Raw genomic sequence first — 27,693 nt, forward strand, 5'->3', positions numbered from 1 at the left:
GCCAGCCGTGGTGGCATGTGACTGCAGTCCCAGCTACTCAGGAGGCTGAGGCAGGAGAATTGCTTGAACCCAGGAGGCGGAGGCTGCACACTGAGCCGAGATCGAGCCACTGCATTCCAGCCTGGGCAACAGAGTGAGACTCTGTCTCAAAAAAAAAAAAAAAAAAATCATAACATATAATGAGACAATTGGCAATGTGAGCACCAACTGAGTATTTGATGACATGAATGGATGTGCTAACTTTGTGGATGTGATAGTGGTGTGGTTATGCTTTTTAAAAGGTCTTGTCTGGCTAGGCACTGTGATTCACACCAGTAATTCCAGCATTTTGGGAGGCTGAGGCAGGAGGATTACTTGAGGCCAGGAGTTTGAGACAAGCCTGGGCAACATAACAAGACCCCATCTCCACAAAAAAATTAAAAATTAGCTAAGCATAGTGGCATGCCTGTAGTCCCAGCTATTTTGGAGAATGAGGCAGGAGGATCACTTGAGCCCAGGAGGTTGAGGCCACAGTGAGCCTTGATCACACCACTGCACTCCAGTCTGGGCGACCTTGTCTCAAAAAAATAATAAAAGATTGTGTCTTTTAAAGATTCATTCTAGAATATTTACAGGTGAAGTGACATAATGTCTGAAGTTTGTCGAAAAATAAAGTGCAGTTAATAAAATGTGGTATATCTACACAATGGAATACTATTCAACAGTGAAAAGGGGTGGAGTGCTGATACATGTTACAACATGGATGAATCTCAAAAGCATTATGCTAGGTGAAAAAGTCCAGACATATAGGATAGCCCATAGAGATGCTAGAAGTGGCAAATCTACAAGCACAGAGCACAGATCCATGATTGGCTGGAGATGGGGGTGGGATCAGAGATTAACTATAAACCAGCATGAGGGATCTTTCTGGAGTGATGAAACGAGTCCAAAACCAAACTGTGGTGATAGTTGCATAACTCCTTAAATCTACTAAAAACTATTGATTCATGCACTTACAATGAGTGAATTTTATGATATAAAAATTATATTTCAATAAAGCCATTAAAAGATAAGTGGAGTGTGTCGGGGGAGGGATATCAGTGCAACAATTGTCATGAGTTGAATCTGGGGGAGGGGTGCTTGGAGGCTGATTAAATTACTCCAAGTCTACTTTGAAAGTCTCCGTAATTATGGCTGGGCACGGTAGCTCACACCTGTAATTCCAGCACTTTGGGAGGCTGAGGCAGGTGGAGTACCTGAGGTCAGGAGTTCAAGACCAGCCTGGCCAATATGATGAAACCCCATCTCTACTAAAAATACAAAAATAGTCAGGCTGTGGTGGTGGGCACCTACTCAGGAGGCTGAAGTGGGAGAATTGCTTGAACCCCAGAGGCGAACTTTGCAGTGAGCCAAGATCGCACCACTGCATTCCAGCCTGGGTGACAGAGGGAGACCCTGTCTCAAAAAAAAAAAAAAAGGAAAAAAAAGAAAGAAAGTCTCCATAGTTAAAATAAATAAAGTTAAACCACACATATTTGACTCATGGCACCGCCTGTCACCGCTCATCAGCCATCCAACAAATACCTGTGAAATAACGAGAGAACGCAAGAAGCCAAGGACAGCCAGGAGCTTACTCTCTCGCCTCCTCTTCCTGGTGCCCTGCCCTGCTCCTTGAAAGCCATCATCCCTGCATCTTCAGGGATGCCAAAGTTCCAAACACAAGAAGTCTAAGTCCTCTTGCCTGCCTAGCACTTTCCAGTTTGCAAAGTCCTTGCAGGTCCGTGGTGCCCCGGGAGTCCTGGGATGTGGACAGATGCAGAACTAGAGCTCAGAGAGGGGAGCCCTGCTGCCCACCCCGTGTGCAGCACTGGTCCCCTACCTGGAAGCAGAGTTAGAGTTGGAGGGGACTTTACTGCCACCCCTGAAGGTACAGCTCAGACACTCCTCCATGAAGGGCCCTGGCCACACACCCACTATCCTCCTCCAGCTGGGGAAAGAGCACTGAATCTGCAAGGAGGAATGCCCTGCGTTCTTTAAACCTGGACACACAAAATTCCACCTGGCAAAGTGTATGTTAAGGAGTAGTTCTGCCTTGATTACAATGGATCAGATGGGGTGGCAAGGGACCTGGAGACCTGGCTCTGCCCTGGACTCCCATGCAACCAGGGCCAGACCCTCCCCTTGCCAGGCCTCAGTGACTCCATCTGTCATGAGGGAGATGGACCAAATCCATTGGGGCCCTTCTGACTCACTAATGTCTGTGCCCACCAAGATGGGGTCCTCACTGTGTGGAATGGGGTTCTCCTTGATATGGCCCCAGGAAGGGCTTAGGTTCCCTCTGTGGGCTGGTGAAGATGTTGCCCGTTTGACCTCAGGTCCCCGAATCCAGAGGCCTGACAGCAACCAGGGGAGGCAGCGTGGCTGAGGAATTCCACCGGGTCTGGGGCCAGGAGGACAGACTTCAAGCCTGACACGGCCAAGTCTGTGCTGTGTGAAACTAGGCCAGGCACCTCTCACTCTTGGTACCTTTTCTCATTTGTAAGGGGGATATGTGACCTACCTCACAAGGTTGTGAGAAAGCCCAGAAGAGAGATCAGAATAAAGCCCTGGAGGGCAGGCCTTTTGCGTTTCAGTTTTTGAGTCCCCAGTGCTAGACTCATAAATAAATACTTTGAAAATGTCTACTGAAAAAACAGCAGGAGGAATCCTTGCAGTGGTAGAAATAGCCTGTATCTTGGACTCAATGTCTATCAGTGTCAATTTATTGTACTATAGTTTTACAAGATGTTTTTGTGGAGGGAAACTCGGTAAAGGGTGTATAGGAGTCCTCGGTATTATTTCTTACAACTGCATATGAATCTACAGTTATCTCAAAATAAAAAGTTTAATTGAATGATGCTTGCAGAAATACTCCATAATCTACAAAGTGCTACCATTAATATTAACTAGGGGGAAGTACTACAAAGGATGTTGAAGGGCCTTCCTCTTCCAGGAAGCCCTCATGGATTCCCCCTTCTCTGTGTTCCTAAAATGGCTGAGTGTGCCTCTCTCTGCCACAGCACTTATTATTCTGCATTATACATTTAACTGTTTAGGGACATCATCCCCCAGCTAGAGTGTGAGCTTCATAAGGATGAGACAGTGTCTCCCTCATCTTTGTGGCAGCAGCTCCTGGCCCAGTGCCCAGCTCTGAACAGATGTGACATAAATGCCTGTGGAATCAAATGAACTTGGACAGGTACCATGGCCTGGCTCTTCCAACGGTGCCAGAGGTGCTTCCCAGGGTCACTGAGAGGATAAGTGATGTCAAGGTGCTTTTATTCATCAGAGGTTGCCACGGACATGGGCCAAACACGCTCTTTATTCATTTGTTTCTCCAGAAATGTACTCATGGCCTGGGTCAAAATGGTTTGCAGCAGGCCAGGCATGGTGGCTCATGCCTGTAATCCCAGCCCTTTGGGAGGCCGAGGCGGGCAGATCATCTGAGATTGTGAGTTTGAAACCAGCTTGACCAACATGGAGAAACCTGTGTCTACTAAAAATACAAAATTAGCCGGGCATGGTGGTGCATGCCTGTAATCCCAGCTACTTGGGAGGCTGAGGCAGGAGAATTGCTTGAACCCGGGGGGCGGAGGTTGCAGTGAGCGGAGATTGTGCCATTGCACTCCAGCCTGGGCAACAAGAGCGAAACTCCATCTCCGAAGCAAACAAACAAAAAAAAAAATGATTTGCAGCAGAATTGAAGGGCTTCCAAGAAGAGATCTATACAGTTTCAGTGACTCATCTCCCCCTGTTCTGTTTACAGCCTGCCAGGCCCCCCTCAGGCACACCCCCAGACAGGTTCCCAAGTGGTGGTGGGTACCAGCAGGGGAAGCCCAGGGAGGCCACCAAAGTCAGACATTTTAACTTCTGTCCGAGAGCAACTTTTCAGCAATGACTAATCAGAAGGCCCTTTTCTTCCCCTGTCCTCTTACGGAATTTTAGTAAGCCCCAAATCTCAGGGTCTAATGGAGCTCAGGAGTGCTGTAGGCTGATCTTTACCTGGCACTTGAAATCCACCAAATGGGTATCTCCAGTGATGGGAACTCACTACTTTCCGAGGCAGCCACACAGCTCCGGTGTGAGAAAGTGCTAAATGCTGGTCTCCCTACATTGGTCCTGGGTGTGCTCTCTGGAGCTCCAGTTCCAACAGAGGTCCTACAGGTGCCAGTGCCCTCCCTGCCTGGATCCAGCACGGGGCCCCAGGGCCTCCACTCCTCCACCAGACATGCTGTCGGACTGGGGCGTATGATGCTTGCTTCTGCTTTCCTGGTAGCCTAGAACCTGACTGATTCATACTGTTCTCACGGTCAAGGCAGGGCTCACTCTAAGTTCATTAGAAATGGAAAGTGATTAGGTATTTTCTCCTTCCCTTAACCAGTGTGCTATTTGCAAGCTCACAGGTCTTCCCAAATACGTGGACAGAAAGGTTATCCTGACAAGGCTTAGAGCACAAAGCTCCACTTCTGGAGAATGAGAACTGGGACCCAGTGGCCCAGGACCCGGTAGTCAAAGCCTCCTAAACAGTAAGATCCCAGTAGGGTTGACTCCTGTGGGGAAGGGGGATGGGGACTCCCTGTCTGGGAAACCTCTGCACCTGCTACAGCTCTGCCTGGCTGGGTCACGAGCAGCTCCAGAGCCTAATGTGGACAAAGGGAGGGAAAGTTCCAGGGACAAAGCTCCATCTCCAGGTGGCCAAGTTCCACAGGCTTCTTCCAGGCAGTCCATGATGGGGCCCAGCTGCTCTTCCCACTACATGGCTAGTAATGGGCAGGGAGGCCATTACCTCCAAGGGAGTGCAGGACTCTTGGCCACAAAGGGGCCTGAATGAGGGGTCCAAAGGGAGGATCCCCATCCTCAAATACCTAGCATGGGAGGAGAGGGAGCACCCTAAGACTCTCATAGTTCACATTCTTTTGGCATGACTTCCCAGCTACAAGGAAGACAGAAAGGTTATGTTGGAGGCATGGAGAAATGAAAAGAGAAAACTTCACTCCACATGGCCAGATCAATAGGGTGGCAGGGTGGGGACAGGGAGGTGGGCCTGGATGCCCCTCCCCACCACCACCACCTCTGGCCATGTGGGAACCTGCAGGCACACACACACATGCACACACACACACACACATGCACACACACACACACACACACACTCCTCAGGCCAAAGACCACCTCTCTGCCCTTCCGCTCCCTGTCAGAAGGAACTTCCTAACACGTGATGCTCTGCAAAGGCATACCCAGCCAGCCTCAGGAGGGAGTGCCCTCTGGGTCACCAAGGATTCCTAGGGCCAAACAAAAACTGTGCAAGGCAACTACCAGAAAGAGAAGGCTGCAAAGGCAAGGCCTCTCATGGTGAATTCAGACTCCCTGGTTTGCCATTCAGAAGACTCTACCAGCTCCCCCTACACCCTCACATACCTTTACTAAGAGGCGGAATAACTTGCATTGACTGGGTGCTTACTGTGTACCAGGTACTGTTCTAGATGTTAAAATGTATTACTAATAATTCATTTAATCCTTGCAACAACCCTACAGGGTAAGTATTACTACCCTCCCTTTACAGATGATGAAAATGAGACACAAGGTGCCAAAATAACGTGTCCAGTTCACCCCCCAGCAGTGCGACTCCAGAGTCCAAGCTCTGAAACACCACTCTACACCCCCTCTGCCACTGTTACTAACCCCAACAAGTTGCAGATGAGAACACTGAGGTTGACAGAAGTTGAGTAAGTTGCAGAGCCGGGGGTTAAACCCAGCTTCTGTTTGACTCCAAAGCCTGTGTTCTTTACTCTGATTGTAAACTGCTCCACGATGTGCCGGAGCCCTGACGGGGACACCACCTGCTAGGCCAGGCTCCTCTTCCTGTGTTTGGTGACCTCTTTAGATAACCCACCTGACTCTGCACCTTTGACATGGCCATGCTTTCCCCGCCGGGCGCCCTCTCACTTTCTCTCCTCCAGTTCCTGTCTATCCACCCCTTCAAATCCTGGCTGAAGAATGACCTCCTATAGAAAAGGTTTCCAGATAGGTTTAGCCGCAGATGTTGTTAACTTTATCCTTTATTCTCCTCATTTAGACAGAAAGCTCCTACACCGTCAACTCAGAGGACAGCAGGGCTCCCATTTAATGCCAACATTAGCAATTCATCTTAACATTAGTGCAAAACAATAGAGAAATAAACAGTAACATGTGGCACTGTTAGCACCATTAAGGAAAAACCAGGCATGTGACTGTTTGCTTAGTTCAAGTCCTCTCTGTTCTTTACTGAAGGTGATATTCTGGCTTCTAGAAAGATCAGAAACTAAAGGAAGGAGACACTAGGCTTAGGATTTAGCTATGATGTGTAAGCCCAAATTTTAGCTAATGTCAATAATCTAGACAAAACTAGCACAGCAACGGTGGTGTTTCTGCTTGTATGCCTTTTTATCAGGGTTAACTTTACTTAAGAGCTTCTGCTTTTAATTACGGAAATATATTTGCATTTTGTGGTTATGTGTTAATTCCATGAATCTTGCATTTCATACCTAGAAACAAAGCATAATAATTATTTTTCGTGCTAATACCTATAATTTACTTAGACAAGCAAGCCATTTGCCTTGAGGCTAGACATGTAAACAAACACACGTCTAAAGGCTTGGTCTGAGTTGGATTTTTAATAATTTCTTCTCCCTTACACACACACATATATTAATTTAGACTCCTGATTTTATTTCCTTCACCTCTTTCCCACAAATCAAAGCTCAAATAACATAAAACTGCTTGCTAGAAATAGGCTTCCCACAAACAAACAAAAGCTTTCAAGCCAAAAGCAACTGAGATGTTCACATCTCCCCATCCAACCGTCTCCACCTCCTCTGCCTGGTCCAACAAAACAGCCTCTCTCTGCCCAATTGCCCTGGAAAACCCTGGAATATTTCATTTTTATTTCCAGGAAAGGAAGAGGTTTTATCCCCAAATAAAAGTTCAGTAATAACAGTAGGCTGGGAAAACCCAGGCAGGATCCTTCCTGCCACCCTCTGTCAAGCTCACAAAGAGAAAAATCGTACCATCCGACATGGTTGGGAGAGTTTAATCCAAAGCAGTGCTAATTAATATCCCCGGCTTTCCAGAAGTCAGTGCCACATACAGCTGCGAGGGCAACAAGGCTGTTCTCCCTTCAATTTTATGGGAAGAACATTTTCATTACAAAGCCTCCTCCCAGACCCTCCTCTCTCAGCCAGATTAGCCTCGAGAAGGAAGCGGATGATCCATATATCAGAACTCCTTCTCTCCCCATTAATTTTATTATTTATATCCCATTTTAAAAGTTTATTGGTGCAACTCCCTATGCACCTGGCCAGGGCCTTTCTGACAAGCAGCGGCCCCTTCCTGTGTCCCCTTCTCAGCGGGAGTATGTACATTCTGTCACCAGAAAGGGCCAACTTTTTAAATTTGCCCTAGGGCAAAGCTCCAATGGTAGTTGCCCCACCACCCTTTCTTTCTTAAAATAAATGTGGAAGGTTCTAAACTGGCCCTTTCATGAAATATGTGTGGGTTTTACTGCTCAGTATGGGCTGTGGGTGATCCTCAGAGACCCTTAAAGCCCTGGGGGATGCCCTACGTGTCCCCCACCCCCAGTCAAGCATCCTTAGCCGTTTGGGCAGGGCTGACCCATTTTTAACCCAAACCACCAGACCCTGGGTAGGCCCTGCTGAGACCACGTGTCTTGCCATTTTGTTCTGAAACCCCACGTGCTCAAGGCTGTCTCTTTCCAGCCTCCTAAAGGGACCCCAAATCCAATCTAAATGTCTTGAATTTACCTGTTTGTCTTTTATACATATAAATAGCTGCATTTCCATTCCCTCTTTGTTTCTCATTTTCATTTGGTTCTAATATCTGCATGTAAATGTCGGAAAATAGCATCTGTAATTGGAGATTATGAAGTATGGCCAGCTCCTGACAGCCTGCTAAGGAAGATGGATTATCCTCATTTTTCTGTAAATTTTGTCAATTTTGGAATTCATAAGCTATCAACACTGATCAAAATGGGACTTCACAGCTGTGTCAAAAAAAAAGAGGGAGAGAGAGAGGGAGAGAGAGAAAAAGCAAGAGAAAGAGAGAGAGAGTGAGAGAGCGCTCGCGTGCGGGTGCACGCTGGCGTCGTGTGGGCGCAGCAGATTGGATGCCCAGTGTCCTCGTGGCCACTCTCCTCCTGTCACCCTCCCCTCGACGCGGGGCCTCACTGGAACTCGGGCTGGGGCTGCCTAGTCCCCTGGCTAAATCAAATAGCTAAATCACAGGGCTGGAAGGCTGCAAATCCTGCAAGGCACCCACTCCAGCCGGGGCTTAATTTATTGCCCGGCGCTGCCTTCCTTATTTATCCTGAGGAGTCTGAGGCTCCCCTGCTCAGCCCCGGAGATGTTCTACTCCTTCCAGACCATCACAGCCCACTTGAGGCAATTGCGTTGGTCTCTCTCTCTCAATTTTCCCATTACTGGGAGTAAGTACTGTTGGGACTCTGTAATGGCCCGACTGCAGCCCATATCAATAACAGATGAGGTTTAATCGTCCAACACAAAAATTATTTAGGCGCAGTAAGGACATTCAATGTCATTTACATAATGGCATTTCTATCGCACGCACCTAACCCATCTTGCATAAACAAGGCCTTGGGACCATAAATAATAATAAATCATGACGTCTGCACGCCTCTTGTGGTAATAGGAGCCACTCTTTGTGGAAATTATTTCAGCAGGAAATGGGCACTGTAATTTTAAAGACGTGTGGCGCAGTGAGGCGCGGTAAATCACATGCTTGCGCACACGACCCCCAGGAGCAGCCCTGGGACCCGCCCTGAGCCCACGGCAACATCCCCAGGGTGCCTGGAGGAGGAGGTCAGGTCTCCAGGGGAAAACAGGCCCTCTAGAAGTGGACACCAGGATGTGCTGCTGTCCCAGGAACAGCAAGCAGGAGAAGGCAGGGCTCTCAGTGCACAGCACCAGGGAGAATCGAATTTGAGTCTGGAGAGGCACCCAGGCATCAGGGTCAGAAATCATCTCCGTCCAGGAGTCTAGAAGCTCCACAAGGGCAGTGATTTTCATCTGCTTTGTTCTCTGCTGAATCTCCAGGTACCTAGAGCAGTGCCAGGCACCCGGCAGGTACTCGGAAAATATCCTAAAGAAACGCAATGAGAGGAGAAGATTACGGGTCCAGGTAGAGAGTGGATAATTAGAGCCCTGAAAACAGGTTAAGTGGGAGAGACAGAGGCCCAGGCACAAGGGGTAATGAAGGCAGGAACAGGCCCAGAAGCACTAGAGCTGCTGCTGGTGAGCAACAGAGTGAAAATGCCCAGTAAACGCTAAACCATATTGGAAGGCAGCTGTAGGGTAAGAGAAAGCACGGATTAGCGTGCAAGGGCGTGGCCTGCACAGCCGCTAAGCCAGCAGGCTCAGGAAGCAGACAGAGCTGGGTTAGAACCCCAGCACCACCCATCACAGACCCTGGCTTTGCCCCTGTGTGCCTCAGCTACCTATCTGTGGAACACAACTCATAATAGTTTTTCCCTTACAGAGTTGTTCTGAGTATTAAATGAGATGATGTGTGCCAAGTGACCAGCACTTGACAGAGCTTTGCTATCTATTCTTTTTACTACCGCTATTATTCCTCAGGAAGCAGCAGAAGTGAGTCCAAATACAAGCTCTGCCTCTTACCAGCTGTGTGATTTGAGAGCGTCCGTCTTGAGGGGTATCCTATGCACCCATGCATCACCCAGTATGCCGGGCGTGAATCTCCTGTCCTGGCTCCAGCTCATGCCCTGGAGGTCAAGCACAACCATTTGAAATGAGGGATAGGAAAGAACGGAAAACAGATTGGAGCCACCACCTGTGAGATGCTAGGAGCCAGCCAGGTAGGCACTGGGGAGGATCTGGAGACCTCAGACTCCCCCTCTTTGCCTGGGCTCCCCCCTTGGCCTGTACCCACCTCAAGGCAATGCCCCTGGGGAGGCAAACTTGGTGGACCCACAAGTCAAGGTGATTCTGGTCACGTCACAGGGAATGGGAAGCAAAGAATATGAAGCGGTGGAGGTGGGGGCGGGGGTGGGACTGAGATGGAGAAATGGTTACACCTGGCCTCCAGGACATGAGACTCACACCAGGCTCACTGGATGATGCAGGGGTGCATAGGGCATCTCCCAAGACAGACCCTTTCCAATCACATAGCTAGTAAGAAAAAGAGCTTGTACTTGAACTCACTTCTGCTTCCTGAAGAATAATAGTGGTAGTAAAAATAATAATAGCAGCACTCGATCAAGTGCTAGTCACTTTGCACGTGTTATCTCATTATCTCATTTAATACCCTGGCAGTGTGCCCAGGCAGCTGATGGCTGAAACATGAACTCGTGTGCCCACCTGCGTGTCCAGGAGCCTGACCCTCTCCTTGGCTCAGGGAAAGGACCCAGGCCTCCTAGGTCAGGCCTATAACTCTAGGCAGCGTCTGAGCTGAAGGGATTTGGGGTATCCCCATTCCCATCCCCTCAATTTTCAGATGGAAGCTGAAGGGGAAAGACTTGATCAAGGGGACACTGTTGTAAGACAGGAGGCCTCAAATCAGAGCCCAGGTCTCAGGAAAAGCAACACTTGGAGTTAGGAAGAGCAAAGAAAATGCATTTCCCTGGCTTACACTTGCTTCACAGGCAAAATGGGAATCATAGCGTCTGCTTGCCTTCATATCACAGAAGCGTTCACAGTGATCAAACAAGGCCACAGATGTGAAAGCAGTCAGGTAATTTCACAGCACCTTTTACACACAGAGTCCCCCTCCATGTGCTAGGTGGGCTTGAGGAGGACCCAGGGGTGGGACGTGTGCAAGTCCCTGCTCTGTTGTAAGAGTCGTGCTCAGCTGCTGACACAGCTTTCATACTGGGCTTTGTTCTGCCTCTACCAGAGGGGTGTGGTTCTCATTCTTCTTCCTTTTTGCAGATGCAGAAACTGAGGCACAGAGAGATGAAGTGACTTTCCCATGATCACGCCATTAATAAAATTTTAACCTAGGTTATGTAGCTACAAGTGCTGATGTTGGAAGCAGAGCTTTTAGCAGAGGAGTTGCTAGAGGTTGTGGGGCCTGGCTTTTGCCTGCAAGAGAGTGAGCCCAGGAGGAGCAGTGCCATGAAAGGGCAGGGCCTGGTGGCCGGGCAACGGCCTTCAGCACTGCTGACGCTACCCTACAAGGCTGCAAGTGCCTCAGCCTTTAACCATGGAGCGTAACACCCGCTGACCCTTGTCTTCCCGCTCTCCTTCTCTGCACCCAGCTCTCAGTTTCCCTACCCAGGGCCTGCTATGTCCTTGTGCTTACCCTCCTCCAGTGCAGGCCCACCCTAGCCCTGCCAAATCCAGCTATTCTCCATCTCAGTCCCACCGTCCCCCATCTCCATTGCTTCACGTTCTTTTCTTCCCATTCCCTGGGATGTGGCCAGAATCACCTTGACTTACGGGTCCATCAGGTTTGCCTCCCCAGGCACATTGCCTTGAGGTGGGTGCAGGCCAAGGGGGAGCCCAGGCAAAGATGGGGAGTCTGGCATCCCCAAGTCTCCTCAGTGCCTACCTGTCTGGCTCCTAGCATCCCATAGGTGGTGGCTCCAATCTGTTTCCCCATTCTTTCCTATTCCTCATTTCAAATGGCTATGCTTGGCCTCTAGGACACGAGACTGGAGTTTTACACACCCCACGTTACTTTCGAAAATCAGATCTTCACAGTACAATAAAGCTGATCTTACTTGCTAACTTCAGCTCTCCTAAAGATATTGCTGAGTATTTGTGGATTAGTTCAACATACACACACACACACACACACACACACACACACACACACAGCTACATATTTGCAAGCTACTTAATACCAGAAAAGAAGGCCTAAGGATCACTGTGTAAGAATTCTGGGTAAATTAATGTTGCAAGAGAATTTTTGTAATAAAATCAGAAAAGACACATGAAAGACTTTGAGAAGAATAGGCGTAGGTTCCAAAGAACCTACACCTATAAGCCATTGTTATATTAATTAACTGTATTAATCACTCATTTTTTCATACCTCACTACTTTCCAGAAAAGATATAAGCAGCTCACAAGGATGTAAAAAATATATGGAGGTATGGAGGGAAGAAAGGACAGAAAAAGGGAAAACATAAAATGGACCCAATAAGTGACTAGAGCTGGGCTCAGTGGCTCACACCTGTAATCTCAGGGACTTGGGAGGCTGAGGCAGGAGGATCACTGGAGGCCAGGAGTTTGAGACCAGCCTGGACAACATAGCAAGACTCCATCCCTACAAAAATAAAAAATCAGCCAGGTACTTTGGTGCACACCTGTAGTCCCACCTGCTCAGAAGGCTGACGCAGGAAGATTGCTTGTGCCCCGGAGTTCAAGGTTACAGTGAACTATGATTGCACCACTGCACTCCAGCCTGGGTGACAAAAAGAGACGCTGTCTCAAAAAAATAAAAGCTGATTAAAAAATAATAATAATTGGACCCAACAACAAACACATGGGGCACGCTCATGTCAACATGTGCCACATGTCACAGGGACCTCATTGAAACCTCTAACAGCCCTATAAGGCAAGCACTCATTATCCCCATTTTTTAGATGAAGAAACTGTGACTTAGCAAGGGCAAATAACCTGCCCGAATCGTGCAGCTGGTAGGTGATGGAGCCAGGACGGCACCCAGACAGCCTGGCCCTAGTGCCCACTCTCAACCACCATGCTCTCCACATCCTCAAAGCCAGGAGATGAGGCTGGAGGCTTTTAATCTCACTCCAGGAAGGACTGCATGAGGCCCTCCCCACTGCCAGCTGGAGAAGGGAAGCTGGTTCACGACCTCACAGAGTCCATGAGATGCAGACCGCCCATTACTCAGAGGTTTTCTGACTAACTCTCAAACCAGGTGGAATTTCTCCCCAAAACCCCCCTAAAGAGCAAGCTGAGAAAGTGCCGAATGCGCTTCAGATCCAGGGGTGGTTTTCAAACGTGATTTCTTAGGGTGTCTCCATATGGGTTCAGTATAACTCTAAGGGGACCACACTGGTGGGGCAGTTACCCAATTGAATGGCTTTATCCGGTAATGATTTTAAAATAAATGAAAGGGACATAAATTAAATGTTCTCCAAGCATTTTTATTTCTAACCGGGGACCGGAGGGATGCTGCTCTGTGCCTATGGTTAAACACAGACCGAGCTGGAAGTGGTACTGACACCCTCATGTGAAAGCTCAGTGACCTGACAGGAACCCAGGCCTGAAGCCACGCAGAGTGAGCCTTGCAACTACCCACAGACAGGGACAGGAATCCCCTCAGAAGACTGCTGTAGCAACAATCACAGACCTCCAACGCACAGATCTATAGATGACGGAGACGCCAAAGTTCCTCTCTGTATAACACAGTCACAAAGGCTATGAACTGGAAGATATTTGGGACAGGTACAGCCACATTCCTGTCTTTATGGTAAAAAACAAAACTCCCTTTGGACAACTGTCTTTTTTTTTTTAGTTTTTTGTTTGTTTGTTTGAAACAGGGTCTCACACTCTCACCCAGGGAGGGCTGAAGTACAGTGGCACAATCATGACTCAGTGCAGCCTCCACTTACTGGACTCAATCAGTCCTCCTGCCTCAGCCTCCCTAGTAGCTGGGACTACAGGCATGAGCCACCATGCCCAGCTAATTTTTCAATTTTTTGTAGGGATGAGGTCTTACTATGTTACCCAGGCTGTCTCAAACTCCTGGGTTCAAGTGATCTTCCCACATTGGCCTCCCACAGTGCTGGGATGACAGGTGTAAGCCACTGTACCCATACCTTCCAAGATGACATCTATGCCAAGATAACCAAATCAAGTAACCTATCAAAGGGCATTGCTATTTATAGATCTGTTTAACACAAGAAACAGATCCTAAAAATAGTAACTATTATTTTAGAATGCTTGATCCACAGCCATTGTTTCTGGCAAATTGGATCAGCCGGTCCAATTGTTTGGGCCACTCTTTGAATGAGATAGAGAAGCTGCTCTTCAAATCCCAGCAGCACAACTTACCAGCTGCAGGCCTTGGAAAAGTTACTTAACTATTTTGTTCTTCAGTTTCCTTTTCTGTAAAATTAAAATAAAGTCTCCGCCTCACAGGGCTGTTGAGAGAATTTAATGAGTTAATACAGGCAAACTGCCCAGATCAGTGCCTGGCACATCATTTGTACTCTATTGTTACAAAACAGCATGGTCAGGGGCTAGAAAGTGTTCAGCTTTGAGTTCTCTACACCAAGATGCACACATATACCTCCCCCTAAAGGAACAGCACGCAGGAAACTCTGCAGTGCTCCATCAGGAAGCGACTCCCTGAGGAGTGCTCCGTCAGGATGCAGTGCTCCATCAGGAAGCGACTCCCTGAGGAGTGCTCTGTCAGGATGCAGTGCTCCATCAGGAAGCGACTCCCTGAGGAGTGCTCCGTCAGGATGCAGTGCTCCATCAGGAAGTGACTCCCTGAGGCTCGCAGAGGGGCCATGGCCCAGCTGCCCCTGAGCTTCAGGAACTCCGCAATGCCAAGCAGCGCTGCCTCGAGCATTTCCGTGTGTTTCTCCCGGTGCACAGATGGACAGCTCGAATTTGTAAATCAGGGAACTTTTCATGGGAACCACTGAGAGATCAAGAGAAACCCGAGCAGCTGACCTCAGTGTGTAGTGCTGGAAAATAAGATTCCCCACAACCAGCCAAAACCTGGGCCACATTCATCAGGTTGAAACCTCTGGAAATTTTGACCTCAAATCTGCCCATGAGGGGAATCTAATGACCAATGTCAGTTGTCCTGTAAGATTTTCCTGTAGCTAAGCTTCTCCAAAGCAATGAGAGGTTTGTCTCTCAAGGCCATGTGTGAACATGTCTGAGTTGTTTTGCCCCACAGCATAGATGCGCTTTCTGACTACCAGTAATGGAAGGGAAAACTACGTGCTAGAGATAGGTTACGGTCACCAGGACACTTTGCGGTTTAAGTCCATTTTGAGTTACTTGAAATCCACTGGTGAGCTGGCCTGGAAGCATCCCCAGGAGACAGTTGAGGCAACTTCTTTACCAACCACCAGCAGGCAGGGCCCAACCAACTTGGAAAGCCCCATGGCTGCTTCCCGCTCCTTTGCTCCTAACCCCCAAGCCACAGTGTAAAATGATGACTCAGCCACGTGCAGGGCCAAAACAGGAGGGAAGTGATTACTTTTTCCAAATCCCAAAAACCCATTCTAAACAGGATCAGAAGCCCAGAAAAAGGATAACAGTGAATAGTGCTGCCCCCAGGGCACATATATCACAGGATTTCTCCAGATTTATTCCATGTGCTATAATTTGACATCCAGATTCTATTCATAAATGAATTTATTCAGAGGAGCCCATATAAATAAATATGCCTGTTCCTAAAATGATGTCCCTTATGGAAGCAACGTTCCCCTTCCTGGCAGCTCCAGAGGCAGCACCATCAGGCCCATCACTGATCCTCATACTCCAACATCCAAAGTGACAAGCCCTGATGTTTAAAAGATGAAAAATTACACTGTGGCTCCAAACCTACCATAAATGTCCTGTCAGGCTAATGCAATGTAAAAATTTTAAACCTTGCTTTGGATCAAGTACCATTTCCTCAGTTTCCTGAAATTTTACGTATTCATTTGTTTATTTATTTTTTATTTTTTTAAAGTCAGGGTCTCACTCTGTCACCCAGGCTGGAGTCCAGTGGCATGATCATGGCTCACTACAGCCTTGAACTCCTGGGCTCAAGTGATCCTCCCACCTCAGCCTCCCGAGTAGCTATCACGCTTGGCTAACTTTTAGTTTTTTTGTAGAGATGGGGTCTTGCTCTGTTTCCCAGGCTGGTCTCAAATGGTCTCAAGTGAAAGTATTTAAGGATATGCACTGTCCAGATATTACATTACTGTATTACATATTATATGATGTTTCATTATATTATATTTGTACGCATATGTGTGTGTGAACATATATATATATATTTTTAACAGAATTTCCAAAACCATCACCCCCACCCCCAGCACACCTCACACTTTGGCCACCTGAAACTACTCTCCCTTTCCCAGACTGAACGCATATGCATATGTCTCCATGCTTTTGTTCTTTCTCTTCTTCCTCTTTCCACTTCCCTACCTGGCACCCTCTTCCTCATCCTCCTCCCCACACACTCTCTGTGCACCCCACCCCCGTTGCCCCTGGTGAAAGGCAGAGCCGTGTCTATATCACTGAGACATTCCCTGAGAATGCAAATAATAATAAATAACATCCTCTGAACGTCTCCCACGTGCCAGGCACTGTCCAAGACTTTGGAGACACACGGGAGCCTCACACCAGCTCTGTGCTAGCATATCGGCATGGCTACCCTCCTCTTGTGGATGGAGAAACTGATGCTGAGTGAGGGGGAGCAAACTATCCCAATCACACAGCCAGCAGGTACGCACGCCAGGTTCCAGGACCAGGGACTCCAGAGCTCTGGCTCTTACCGCCTTGCCATGTGGCCAGCACAGGTGCAGCCCGACCATAAGTGGGAGCGGCGAGTGTCCCTGAGAACAAGGTTACCGAGGCTGACAGTCCATCCCTTCCTCCGAGAGGGACGGGACACATTCTGTTAGGCAGTTTCCTTAGAAGTATCACAGTCTGGGTTTAAATACCTCCTCCCTCCTTTTGAGGCAGATCTGGGAGACCGGAGAACTCGTCCTCTGTTGCACCAAAAAGGAAATATTAAATTGTTTGTTTGTAGGGGAAGATCCTTACAGTACAACCCAGAATTAATAATTTAGTACAAAGATTTCTTAGCTCCTCAGGCAGAAGTTCTAAAAGTGATACAAATTGTTATTTTGATTGCTTTAATGGAATATTTCCCTGGAAGCCTGGGCTCATTTGCCTGTGTAATCTGTAGCCAAGCAAACAGTAAAAACAGAGAAAGTCTGGGGAAGAAAAAGTTCCCAGAAACTCCCCAGTGCAAATGCCCCATCACTGCAGGTCAGATAGGGCCTTCTGGTCTGTCTCTCATTCCCTCCCACCAAGACAATTCTTAGCCACTTTGTCTCCCTGCGCAAACTCCCTCCTGCCTCCTCTCCAACTCCTTTCCTGCCCAACCCAGCCCTACCCACCTGAGCTTTCTTGATCCCTTTCCCACCATGACCCTGACTCTCTGCCCTGTAGAACCTCTGATGTGGCAGAACACTCCTTAATAATAATAACAATGATAATAAAGGAACATTTGGAGTACCTACTATGGGCTGAACCCTCTGTCAAACTTTGTTTAATCAGTACAACCACCTACAACACAAGTATTGCTGTTTTTTTGTTTGTTTTGTTTTGTTTTGTTTTTGAGACAGAGTCTCGCTCTGTCGCCCAGGCTGGAGTGCAGTGGCACAATCTCGGCTCACTGCAACCTCTGCCTCCGGGTTCACGCCATTCTCCTGCCTCAGCCTCCCAAGCAGCTGGGACCACAGGGGCCCGCCACCACGCCTGGCTAATTTTTTGTATTTTTAGTAGAGACGGGGTTTCACCATGCTAGCCAGGATGGCCTCGATCTCCTGACCTCATGATCCACCTGCCTCAGCCTCCTAAAGTGCTGGGATTACAGGCGTGAGCCACCGTGCCCGGCCAACACAAGTATTGTTATTATCCCCATTTTACTTATGAGAAAACTGAGGATAAAGCAGTGGTAAAGCCAAGTAGATTGGAAATAATAACTTTGTACACAAAGGAAGAAAAGTTCGTATTTGTTTGAGATGTGATAATAACCAGTGTTCTCAAAGCTAGGAATAAAGGAAGAATCACATAGACTCCAGAGGTAAGCCTACATTCACTTTTATTACCACAATCTCCCAAGAGATTACGTGAGCTCAAAACTAACGTAACAGGTTGCAAAGTCACAAGCAGCTGCTTCCGAAGCTTGTGCTCTTAACCATGACACTATGCTACTTCCAGCAGTCCTCCAGACATGGGTCCCTGACGCACTCCCCAGTAGAAAGCACACCACCGTCCTCTCCTCAGGCCTTTCTGGGCCAGGCATGGGGTCTGCAAAATTCCATGCCATTGCTCACCACACCATCCTACCACAGCATCTCCTCAGAATTCCACATTATCTGCCCAAGCCAATCCCCTCATACTGTTAGTGAAATGCGGCCATTCCTCCTGGCAGATTTCCCGTTCCTCGGGACCTCCCACCACGATCTTCACCTACCCTCGACCTCCCTAAGCGACACCTCTTTGACTCCACTGACCTTAATCTCCATTCCCCAGCTCCAGCCTCATGGATGGACACAGATAGGACCGTTATTAACCTGTCATTTAGAACTCATCTAAGTCCCTAAGCTCCTTCTGAAAGCTTGTTTGTCATAATCTTCCTTGCATGCTCTCATCCTGATGAGCCGGCTCTTGCCAGGAACCCTTGAACTACTGTAACCAACAGGTAGATAAAGTTATCTGTCCTCTTGGTGAGCCTGAAATGAAAACATCACCAATTCTGTTGCCCTGACCCAAGAAGGGTCTGCACCTTCTTAAAAGCATTGACACTGAGCTGGACTATGTGATGATCTTCAATAAAATCATCCCATTTGGTTTCATAGCCAAGACATTGGGAAAGAATCAACAAATTCATCTTTTCTCCAAAATAGAAGAGAGGAAATGCAACCACATGCGTCACAGAATGCCAAAGCTCAGAGCTGGAAGGGACCCTGGTGGTTACCTCTTCCAAGCCCCAATCTGACACTTGAAACCCCTCCTCAGTCTTCCTCCCAAGTGGCCTCACTGCCCACACCAGACACTCTCAGCGACAGAAGATTCCCAGCCCAATCCACATTTAGGCAGCTCGCCTGCTTGGAAGGTTTCCTTCAACTAAGATGAGAGCTGCCTCTCTGTAATTTCCACCTAAATCCTGGGTCTGCCCCTTGGAACTACGAAGAAGTCTGCTTCTGTTCCTTCTCCACAGGAGCCCTTTTGAGATCAGATCACATTCTTGCATATCCACTGAGTTTTCTTTTTTTTTTTTTTTTTTTTTTTGAGATGGAGTCTTGCCCTCTCATCCAGGCTGGAGCGCAATGCTGCAATCTTGGCTCACTGCAACCTCCGCCTTCCAGGTTCAAGCGACTCTCCTGCCTCAGCCTCCCAAGTAGCTGGGATTACAGGCACACACCACCACGCCCAGCTAATTTTTTGTATCTTTAGTAGAGACGGGGTTTCACCATCTCGAGACCAAGCTGGTCTCAAACTCCTGACCTCGTGATCCGCCCACCTCGGCCTCCCAAAGTGCTGGGATTGCAGGCGTGAGCCACTGCATGAATTTTCTTTTCTATAGGCCAGCCAGTTCCACTTCCTCTACAAGTTCCTTATAAGACATATTTGGGGGTAGGGAAGTAGGGTGGTAGGGTGGTGTAAGTAGGGGGCAGGATAAATGGGCATTCATGGAAGTATTCCTTCCAGGAGTTCAAAAAGCAAAGTATTCTCTAATTGTTGTCCTTTCATGTGTCTATTCTATTAAGCTTGTTAATTATGTTGTGCAAAACTTACAAATATCCCTGCCAATTTTTTGTCAGCTTGATTTATTCATTAACAAGAGGGGCATTTTAGTCTCCCCAAAATATCATGGGATTTGTTCATTTGTTCATTGACATTTTTTGCTTTAAATATTTAGAGACTCTGTTGCCAAGTGCGTACAGGTTCAGGATTGTTATATTTTCCTACAAATTGTTCTTGTTATCATTAAGCAATAATCCTCTTTGTCTTTGAGCATACTTTGGGCCTTAAAGTTTATATCATCTGATAATGAGATTACTCTATCACATTTTATTTGGTTAGTATTGCCATATTTTCCTCTCTCAGTCCTTGCAAACTTTCAGTACCATTTTGTTTTAGGTTAATTACTAAAAACACCACATTTCTGGGTCTTGGTTATTTTACACGTCTTCTATTTATCTTGCAAATCCAATCTATTTATCGAGACTACTCAAATATTTTTATTTATTTCTATCCTCTATTGTGTAATTTTATATTTTTAATTTACCTTTCTTCTCCCTTACCTTCTATTGGATCCACTAAGTATTCTAAATATTTCTTTTTGCTTATTCTGGTTTGCACATTATGCATTCTATTACCATAATGGTTACCCTTTAATTGTTATCCTTAATTTGCTCACTGGCATCCTTGACCTAACACAGCCTAACGTTTATCAATATATCTATCTTCCTCCTATGAAATGCAAAAATCTTAGAATGTTTTAACTTAGATCAGCCTCCTCCCAATCTTACATATTATTATTGCCTTTTTTCCTACTTTGTTTTAAACTTCCAAAACTATGAATTACTTTTACAGGTGATATTATTTATTGGACAAACCTATTTAGATTATTGTTCATTTATCTATGTATTTGGTTACCATCACTTCTTAAATCCCATTCTCTCCTTTTGTATTTCATATCCTTCTTGTAGGCAACATATGGATGAGTCCTTCTGTTTTTTTAATATGCTCTGACCATCTCCCTTTTTTTTTTTTTTTTTTTTTTTGAGACAGAGTCTTGCTCTTTCAGCCAGGCTGGAGCACAATGGCGAGATCTCGGCTCACTGCAACCTCCGCCTCCCAAGTTCAAGTAATTCTCCTGTCTCGGCCTCCCAAGTAGCTGGGATTACAGGCACATGCCACCATGCCTAGCTAATTTTTTGCATTTTAGTAGAGACGGGGTTTCAATATGTTCAATGGTATGTTTAGACCATTCACATTCAAAGTGATTATTGATATAATTGGATTCATATCTACTACGTTTGTAACTTTTCTACTTGTTGAACTTGTTCTTTGTTTCTTTACGTCTCCTCTTCTTCCTTCTCTGGTTTCAACTGAACGTGTCATACAATTCCATTTTATCTCTTCTGTTAGCATTTCAATTATATTTCTTTTTTTAAGTATTAGTACTTTCCCTAGAGTCTGCAATATACGTTTATATCTAATCTAAATTCACCTTCAAATGATACTATTCCTCTTCAATCATGTACCTTCTAATAGAATATTCCCAGTTCCTCATTCCTGTCCCTTAGGACATTGCTGCCATCATTTCACTTATCCATATGTAATAAATCACTCCATACATTGTTATTATTATTACTTTACACAAACAGTTACCTTTTAGATCAATTAAGAATAGAAAAATCAAAGGTCTTATTTTACCTTCATTTATTCTTTCTCCAACTCCCTTCTTTCCCTTATGTAGATCTGAGTTTCTGAACTACATCATTTTCCTTCCTCTGGAGAACTTCTTTTAACATTTCTTCTAGACCAAGTCTGCTGGTGATGAATTTCCTCCATTTTTGTTTAACTGGGAAAGTCTTTATTTTTTCCTTCACTTTTGAAGTATAATTCCCCATGATATAAAATTCTAGGTGGGTGAACTTTTTCTTTCAACACTTTTAATATGTCACTCCACTCTCTTCTTGTATGCATGGTTTCTGACAAGAAATCCACTGTAATTTTTATTCTTGTTTCTCTATAAGTAAGGTAATTTTTACCTCTGGCTTCTTTCAAGATTTTCTCTTTGTCTTTGATATTCTGGCTTTTGAATATTATATGCCTAATGTAGATATTTTGGTGTTCTCTAAGTTTTCTGCATTTTTGGTTAGCATCTGTCACTAATTTTGAAAAATTCCCAGCCATTGTTATTTCAAATATTTCTTCTTCTTCATTCTCTCTTCTCCTTCCGGCAACCTAATTATAAATATGCTATGCCTCTTAAAATTATCCCACAGTTCTTAGGTGTTCTGTTCTGGTTTTGTTTTTTCATTCTTTTTTCTCTTTGCTTTTCAGTGTGGGAAAGTTTCTATTGTCATATCTTCAAGCTCCCAAATTCTTGGTTTGGCTGTGTCCAGTCTAGTGATGAGCCCAGCAAAGAAAGTCTTTATTTCTGTTACTGTGTTTTTTATTTTTCTTTTGATTCTTTCTTAGAATTTTCATCTCTCTGCTTACATTACTCATCCATTCATGTATGTTGTTTACTTTTTCCATTACAGTCCTTAACATATTAATTATAGTCATTTTAAATTCCCTATCTTGGCCAGGTGCAGTAGCTCACACCTGTAATTCCAGTACTTTGGGGGGCCAAGGCAGGTTGATTACCTGGGCTCAGGAGTTCAAGACCAGCCTGGGCAACATGGTGAAACCTGGTCTCTACAAAAAATACAAAAATTAGCCAGGCGTGGTGGTGCTGCCTGTAGTCCCAGCTACTTGGGGGGCTGAGAGGGGAGAATCACTTGAGCCTGGGAGGTTGAGGTTACAGTGAGCTGAGATCATGCCACTGTACTCCAGCTTGGGTGACAGAGCAAGACCCTGTCTCAAAAGAAAAAAATATATACCTATCTAATAATTCCAAAGTCTGAGTCTGATTTTGATGCTTACTTTGTCTCTTCTTACTTTTTTTTTTCTTGCCTAATATTTTGTTGAAAGTTGTACATGATACATGAAGTAATTGGACTAAAGTAAGGTTTCATGTTAATCTGGCAGATCTCAGCTGTAACTCTGTATTCTTATGACTTAGGCCAAGAAAACGTGTTGATTTTCCTTTTGTTCAGCTTTACTTCTTATTGTAAAGATCAGAGTAATGGTGTCAAAACTCCACTTGTCAGAGCTGAAACTGCAAGTCTCTCATATCTTTCTTATTGAAGTACATGATTTAGCAGTTCAGCAAGAGTCTGTGAGTGGTAAACTCTCCCTGCCATTATCTGAAAATGTCTTTATTTGCCTTCACTGTTAAATGATCATTTATCTGAGTACGAGGTAATTATTACTATCTCTTAACACTCGAAGATATTTTCTGTTGTCTTCTGACTTCTAACAATGCTGAAAAAAGAGCCCTGTCAGTCTAAATGTTGTACTTTCTCTCTGGTTGCTTTCATAATTTTCTCTTGTCTTTGATGTTCTTCAATTTCACTAAAGTTTTGCTTAGATGTCTGTTTATTTTTATTTAACTTGCTTGGGATTTAGTATGCTTCTTCAATCTAATGATACATGTTTCTTGCAACAGTTTTGTTTCACAAAGTCTTAGCTATTATTTCTTCAAATATTGCCTCTTTTCTCTGTTTTTATTTTTCCATGCCAACTATTTGGTGTATGTTGGACTTTCTCATGATATTTTGTTTTATCTCTTACCTTTTTCTTTCATATTTCCCAACTCTTTAGCTTTCTATGCTATGTTCCTGAGAATTTCCTCAGCTTTGTCTCCTCCCAAATCAGTAATTTTCTATTCAGCTATGTCTTATCTGGTATTTAATCCATCAGTTGAATTTTTAATTAATTCTCACATCATAATTTTTATTTCTAGAAAATTTATTTGATTCTCTTTCTAGTCTGTTCCTTCTTTTGTCATGGCATTTTATTCTTTTATAATGGTTTCTAGTCTTTTTCATCTCTTTAATCATTTTCTAGTCTCTTTCAAATTGTCTGCTATCTTGGATTCTTGGAATACTCATTTTGCCCGTTATGTCTCCTAACTTTCCCTCATTTTCTTGGGTGGTTTGACATTTTTAAATTGTGAGCTTATTTAGTAGTTATTATTTATTCTGTAGGCATGTTGTACATACTAAATTGTGGAAGGAGCCAGATGAAAGTTTTTTTATATGCATCTGCGAGGCATCTCAGTGATTTCACTAATATGCCTCCAGTTTTTATATTATTTCCATCCTTGAATTTTTTAGAAATATTTTGTTTTTGTCTGAGTCCCATGTAGAATCAAGTTTCCCTACTGCCTCCTTCAGCTTGTGGGTAAAACTTACCTAGTGCCCATTTCATGGAATGTGCAGCCCTTCCAGGTTTCTAGTTTTTTGCAGGAGCTTTGGTTCCCACTCCTATATATCACACAATTCTAAGACTACATCTTTTGTCTCAACATCAGCATCAAAACCCCAGCCCCTGTTCACTAGAGACTATATTGAGAACCCATACCCTGGGCCACCAGGACATTAGCTCATGCACTTAAAGTTCTGGCTTTGAGCTGCCTTTTAAATTACAGCCACTGAGGATTTCCCTCTTTTTGTTTCAAAAAAAAAAAAATATATATATATATATATATACCCACACACACATATATATATAATGCTTTATTGTTATATTTGATCCAATTGTTTGCAATAGGAGAGCCTACAATAGCTCAGATCTTGTTATAAGAATCAGAAATCTACGTTCTTTTTTAAAAAATAATTTACAAAACAATAAATGTTTATTTTTATTGTTTTTTAAGAGTTTTGTAAATAGCCGACTTCCTTAAGTCAAACTTCCGACACACCCTCAAAACAAACAAGGTGTAAGACCAAAATTAGCTGTTCTTTTGTCTTTTTTTTGAATTGCAAATATTGGATAGCCTTGTTTGAGGGGAAATATCTCTACTCAAAAGTCAATTCTCACACAGTATTTTGGCTGCATCAATTGCTGTTACTTTATGCCACACAACACAGCACAGGTGGTCAATGTCACTGACATGGCATATCTGTAAAAATTTCTTGGATGAATGAATGAATAAATGAATGAAAGAACAACCGAGCAAGGTGCAGGCAGCTCTTTGACAATTCACTTGTAATCTTTAAATCCCACAAACACAGAATTTGCCTGTCATCAAAAAGAGTGGAACAGACAGGAGGAAAAACTGTAAACAAGTCAAAATAAAAATAAGTGATGGATTTCCCATTTGTTTTATCACTCACAGAATGTTAGAGCTAGAATGGATCTCAAGGATGACCCAGGGCAATCTCCCACCCTAAATGCAAAAACCATGACCCAGAGTGACTAGCCTAAGAGCCATCACTAAAGCCCAGAACCCCACGCTTTTCACTATGGCAATTTGCCCAGTATTCCCTCAAACATCCCCCTCCCTTACAAAGCAGGAACGATTTTTACTGGGGAGCTGTCCTTGTGCTTGGTTCACAGGAAGACAAAGACTACTCAACTGTTTAGAAAATATTTCAAAAGCTACTTAGAGACAAATGGACATCCCCAGGCAATATTCTTGGCAGCAAATCAAGTGAGGTCCCATAGAGTCCATGTAATTTTCATCCTTGGGTCACTTTGAGATGATGACAATAGAATAAATAGAATAAGGGAGAGTATGGCTGGTCTAGAGGCACCCGGCACTTCTAGAGATCTAGGGAGCAACAATTCCAGAATAATCCTTGTGATTATCTCATTCCTAAGGCAAAATAGCGTCCAAGTTAAATCTTAAGCAGTTCAGTGAACAGGAAGGTATTTCTACCTCCTCTCCTCCTGCTGGGGACAACTGGGATGAGAAGCCTTGTCCCCCCCACTTCCACCCTCTTATAGCTCCCTGCCATGGGAGGAGTCACTTATCCGACTGGTCAGAGCCCAGGACAAGCAGTTAGCTGTGCTCGCTGGTGGGCGGCATCGCTGTGCCTTGCGGCTCAGAAGCCCTTCTCTGGATCTTCAAGCTTCTACACGCTTCAGGTTTCCCATAGGAAGGCCCAGTTAAGTCCGTCTCTCAGTTCCATCTTCCCCTCCTGCAACTGGGTGGGTAAGCCAGGGAGGGTCTGCTCTACAGGGCAGTCAGTTTGGGAAATAACGTGCCAGAAGCTTCACTTTAGGTCTCCTCTAAGGGGTGCTTAAGTTAAGCCTAAGTGGTACTGCGCAACTCAGGTTTTCAGAGCCCCTAGAAACGGTTGGGAAGGTATGGAGTGAGTATTTGGGTACTTGTTCAGTACCCAAATCAATACCTTGTCCATTTTTGCTAGGTTGGCAACCCTACAGAGGAAGAATAAGAAAGAAGATTCAAAGCTCCAACCAAACCCCAACTCTTCCTTTCCACAAAAGCAGAGCCTTACAAATAGTGTGCCAAGATATCAAACTCTGTCAGCCTTTGGATGACCAGGGGACATGTGGGGAAGCTAAAGCCTGTAGGTCAGTTGCCTCCAGCCACGAGCATCCTGTTTATCCCAGTGTGTTACGCAAATATTAACACTTTCTATGCGTGCTATGGTAATTGGGAAGTCCTGAACAAAAGCGCATCCAGCCTACCATCTCCTTCTTTAATCTCTAAAACATATGACTTCTCCCTCCTTCAAGTCCCCAAGTCCCTGCCTACCAAGCTCCCACCAGAGAAGTCAACGCAAACTACGAAATTCTTATTCTCATCAAGAGTTGAGCTGATGCAGTTGATGGTGACCACTGGAGGCACCTTCCAATAGACTGAAACTTTTCCACCTAAGGAGGACATTTTCCCAGGGGTACCCTCTGGGTGGCAGGAGGTCTCAAAGCCCCAAAGCGTATCTTCCCAGAGCATCAAGTTGGAAAATCTAAGAAGAGCTACCCTAGAGGGTCTGGGATTTTTTCTTAGTTAAGTTGGGCTATCAGAAAAGCTGCTTTCTTGAGCCTCATGGTCACAGTAGCCCTGCCCCTGCAGAAATGCACTGATTAGCATGTGGGCGTCATACTCATCCATAAGACAAGCTCTATACAACCTACTGCAGGGCCTCTAAATGTGCTGTTGAGGACCGTGACCATTGCCTCACTGGTCTACCCACTGAAAACCCATGTGAAAATTTCCTTCCACTCTAAATGTCAGGAAAAAAAAATGGCTTCCATTGAGGAACTGGACTCTCCTCCACTGGTGGACAATGAGAAGAACACAACTGATTGCATTTCCCATTTTGCTTTGACCATCAGGAAGCTCAGAATCAAATTCAAGCTAACTCTAGGAACTACGGGGGCCTGGCTGGAGACTTGGAGGGTTGGTGGGGGGAAGTGTGAGGAGGTGGGGGAGCAGAAGGGAAAGGAGAGAAGCCGTGCATGATGGGGCCACACTTTTTGGGCAATACTACGGACTGGAGAGAAGCTAGACCCAGGCAGCCATCTTCAGGGGTACAGCAACGTCGCTTATACCCTAGCAATCGCCTCCTGGTCCCCTAGCTCTCCGAGTCTCCTCACAGCTGCAAGAGTAATCTTCCACTCTGTGTTGGATTGGATCCTGATATTCCCTGATTTAAAATCTCACAGAGGCCTCTCTTTGCTCTCAAGGTAATACAATCCAAGGCCCTGACCCCAGCACACAAGTCCCCTCGCACCTCACCAACTTACCACATACCACTTTCTGCTAATGTGCTGACCAGCCTACTCCTCCCCCATGGGACCTGGCCCTGAACTCCTGGGCAGAGGAAGCCAGATACTGTCTGGAGGCAGCAAGGCTGACAGCAGCCACCAGTATCCTGGCCCTGGCATCTTCACCAGAACCCCAGCCCTGCTCCCTGCACTAGAGGAGCTGGAGTCATCCAATGGCCTCCCAAGACCCTGCAGTCCCCACCCCTTTGCTGCTCAGGGCCATGGCTCCTGTGATGCAGACTGACCCTCTTTGTCCACCCTAGTGAGGATTCCTCAGGGGAACTGCCCTTCAGTGCCCCTTCCGGTGCTTCAGTGTAAAAGATCTTCTCTACTCCTTCCCCTCTTCCCACCAGACCCTTCTCATTCTTCTTATCTTAGAATCATTCTTTCAGGTTGGAAAGGCATTGGCATTTAGATAATTAAGCTCTCTGGATTCTTAAACTTCTAAAACCACATGTATGAAAATGGATAGATTCTACTTGCATGCCTCCAGCAATGGGAAGCTCACTACTTAACAAGGAGGCCCATTCCACTGTCAGAAAGCTTGGGCTATTAGTGAGTTCT

At 45.5% G+C, this 27,693-nt stretch overlaps 1 protein-coding gene across 13 annotated transcripts in view, besides 3 other annotated features; it reads right to left on the minus strand.

Annotated features, from left to right (window-relative positions):
• Nucleotides 1-27,693, minus strand: part of PAX5 (paired box 5) — a 201,000-nt gene that overhangs the window by 98,434 nt on the left and 74,873 nt on the right. The gene's annotated exons all lie outside the window — the stretch shown is intronic.
• Nucleotides 3,962-4,121: an enhancer, noted in NCBI's record as "active region_28361". NCBI's record gives its function as "activates an Ori minimal core promoter by ATAC-STARR-seq in GM12878 lymphoblastoid cells {active_cell/tissue: GM12878}" and the evidence as "EXISTENCE:reporter gene assay evidence [ECO:0000049][PMID:35858748]".
• Nucleotides 4,182-4,231: an enhancer, noted in NCBI's record as "active region_28362". NCBI's record gives its function as "activates an Ori minimal core promoter by ATAC-STARR-seq in GM12878 lymphoblastoid cells {active_cell/tissue: GM12878}" and the evidence as "EXISTENCE:reporter gene assay evidence [ECO:0000049][PMID:35858748]".
• Nucleotides 15,957-16,481: an enhancer, noted in NCBI's record as "H3K4me1 hESC enhancer chr9:36947656-36948180 (GRCh37/hg19 assembly coordinates)". NCBI's record gives its function as "activates a minimal SCP1, AML or CMV promoter by ChIP-STARR-seq in naive H9 embryonic stem cells {active_cell/tissue: H9 hESC(naive)}" and the evidence as "EXISTENCE:reporter gene assay evidence [ECO:0000049][PMID:30033119]".

The sequence above is a fragment of the Homo sapiens genome, chromosome 9, assembly GCF_000001405.40.
Source record: "Homo sapiens chromosome 9, GRCh38.p14 Primary Assembly".
Lineage (NCBI taxonomy): Eukaryota > Metazoa > Chordata > Mammalia > Primates > Hominidae > Homo > Homo sapiens.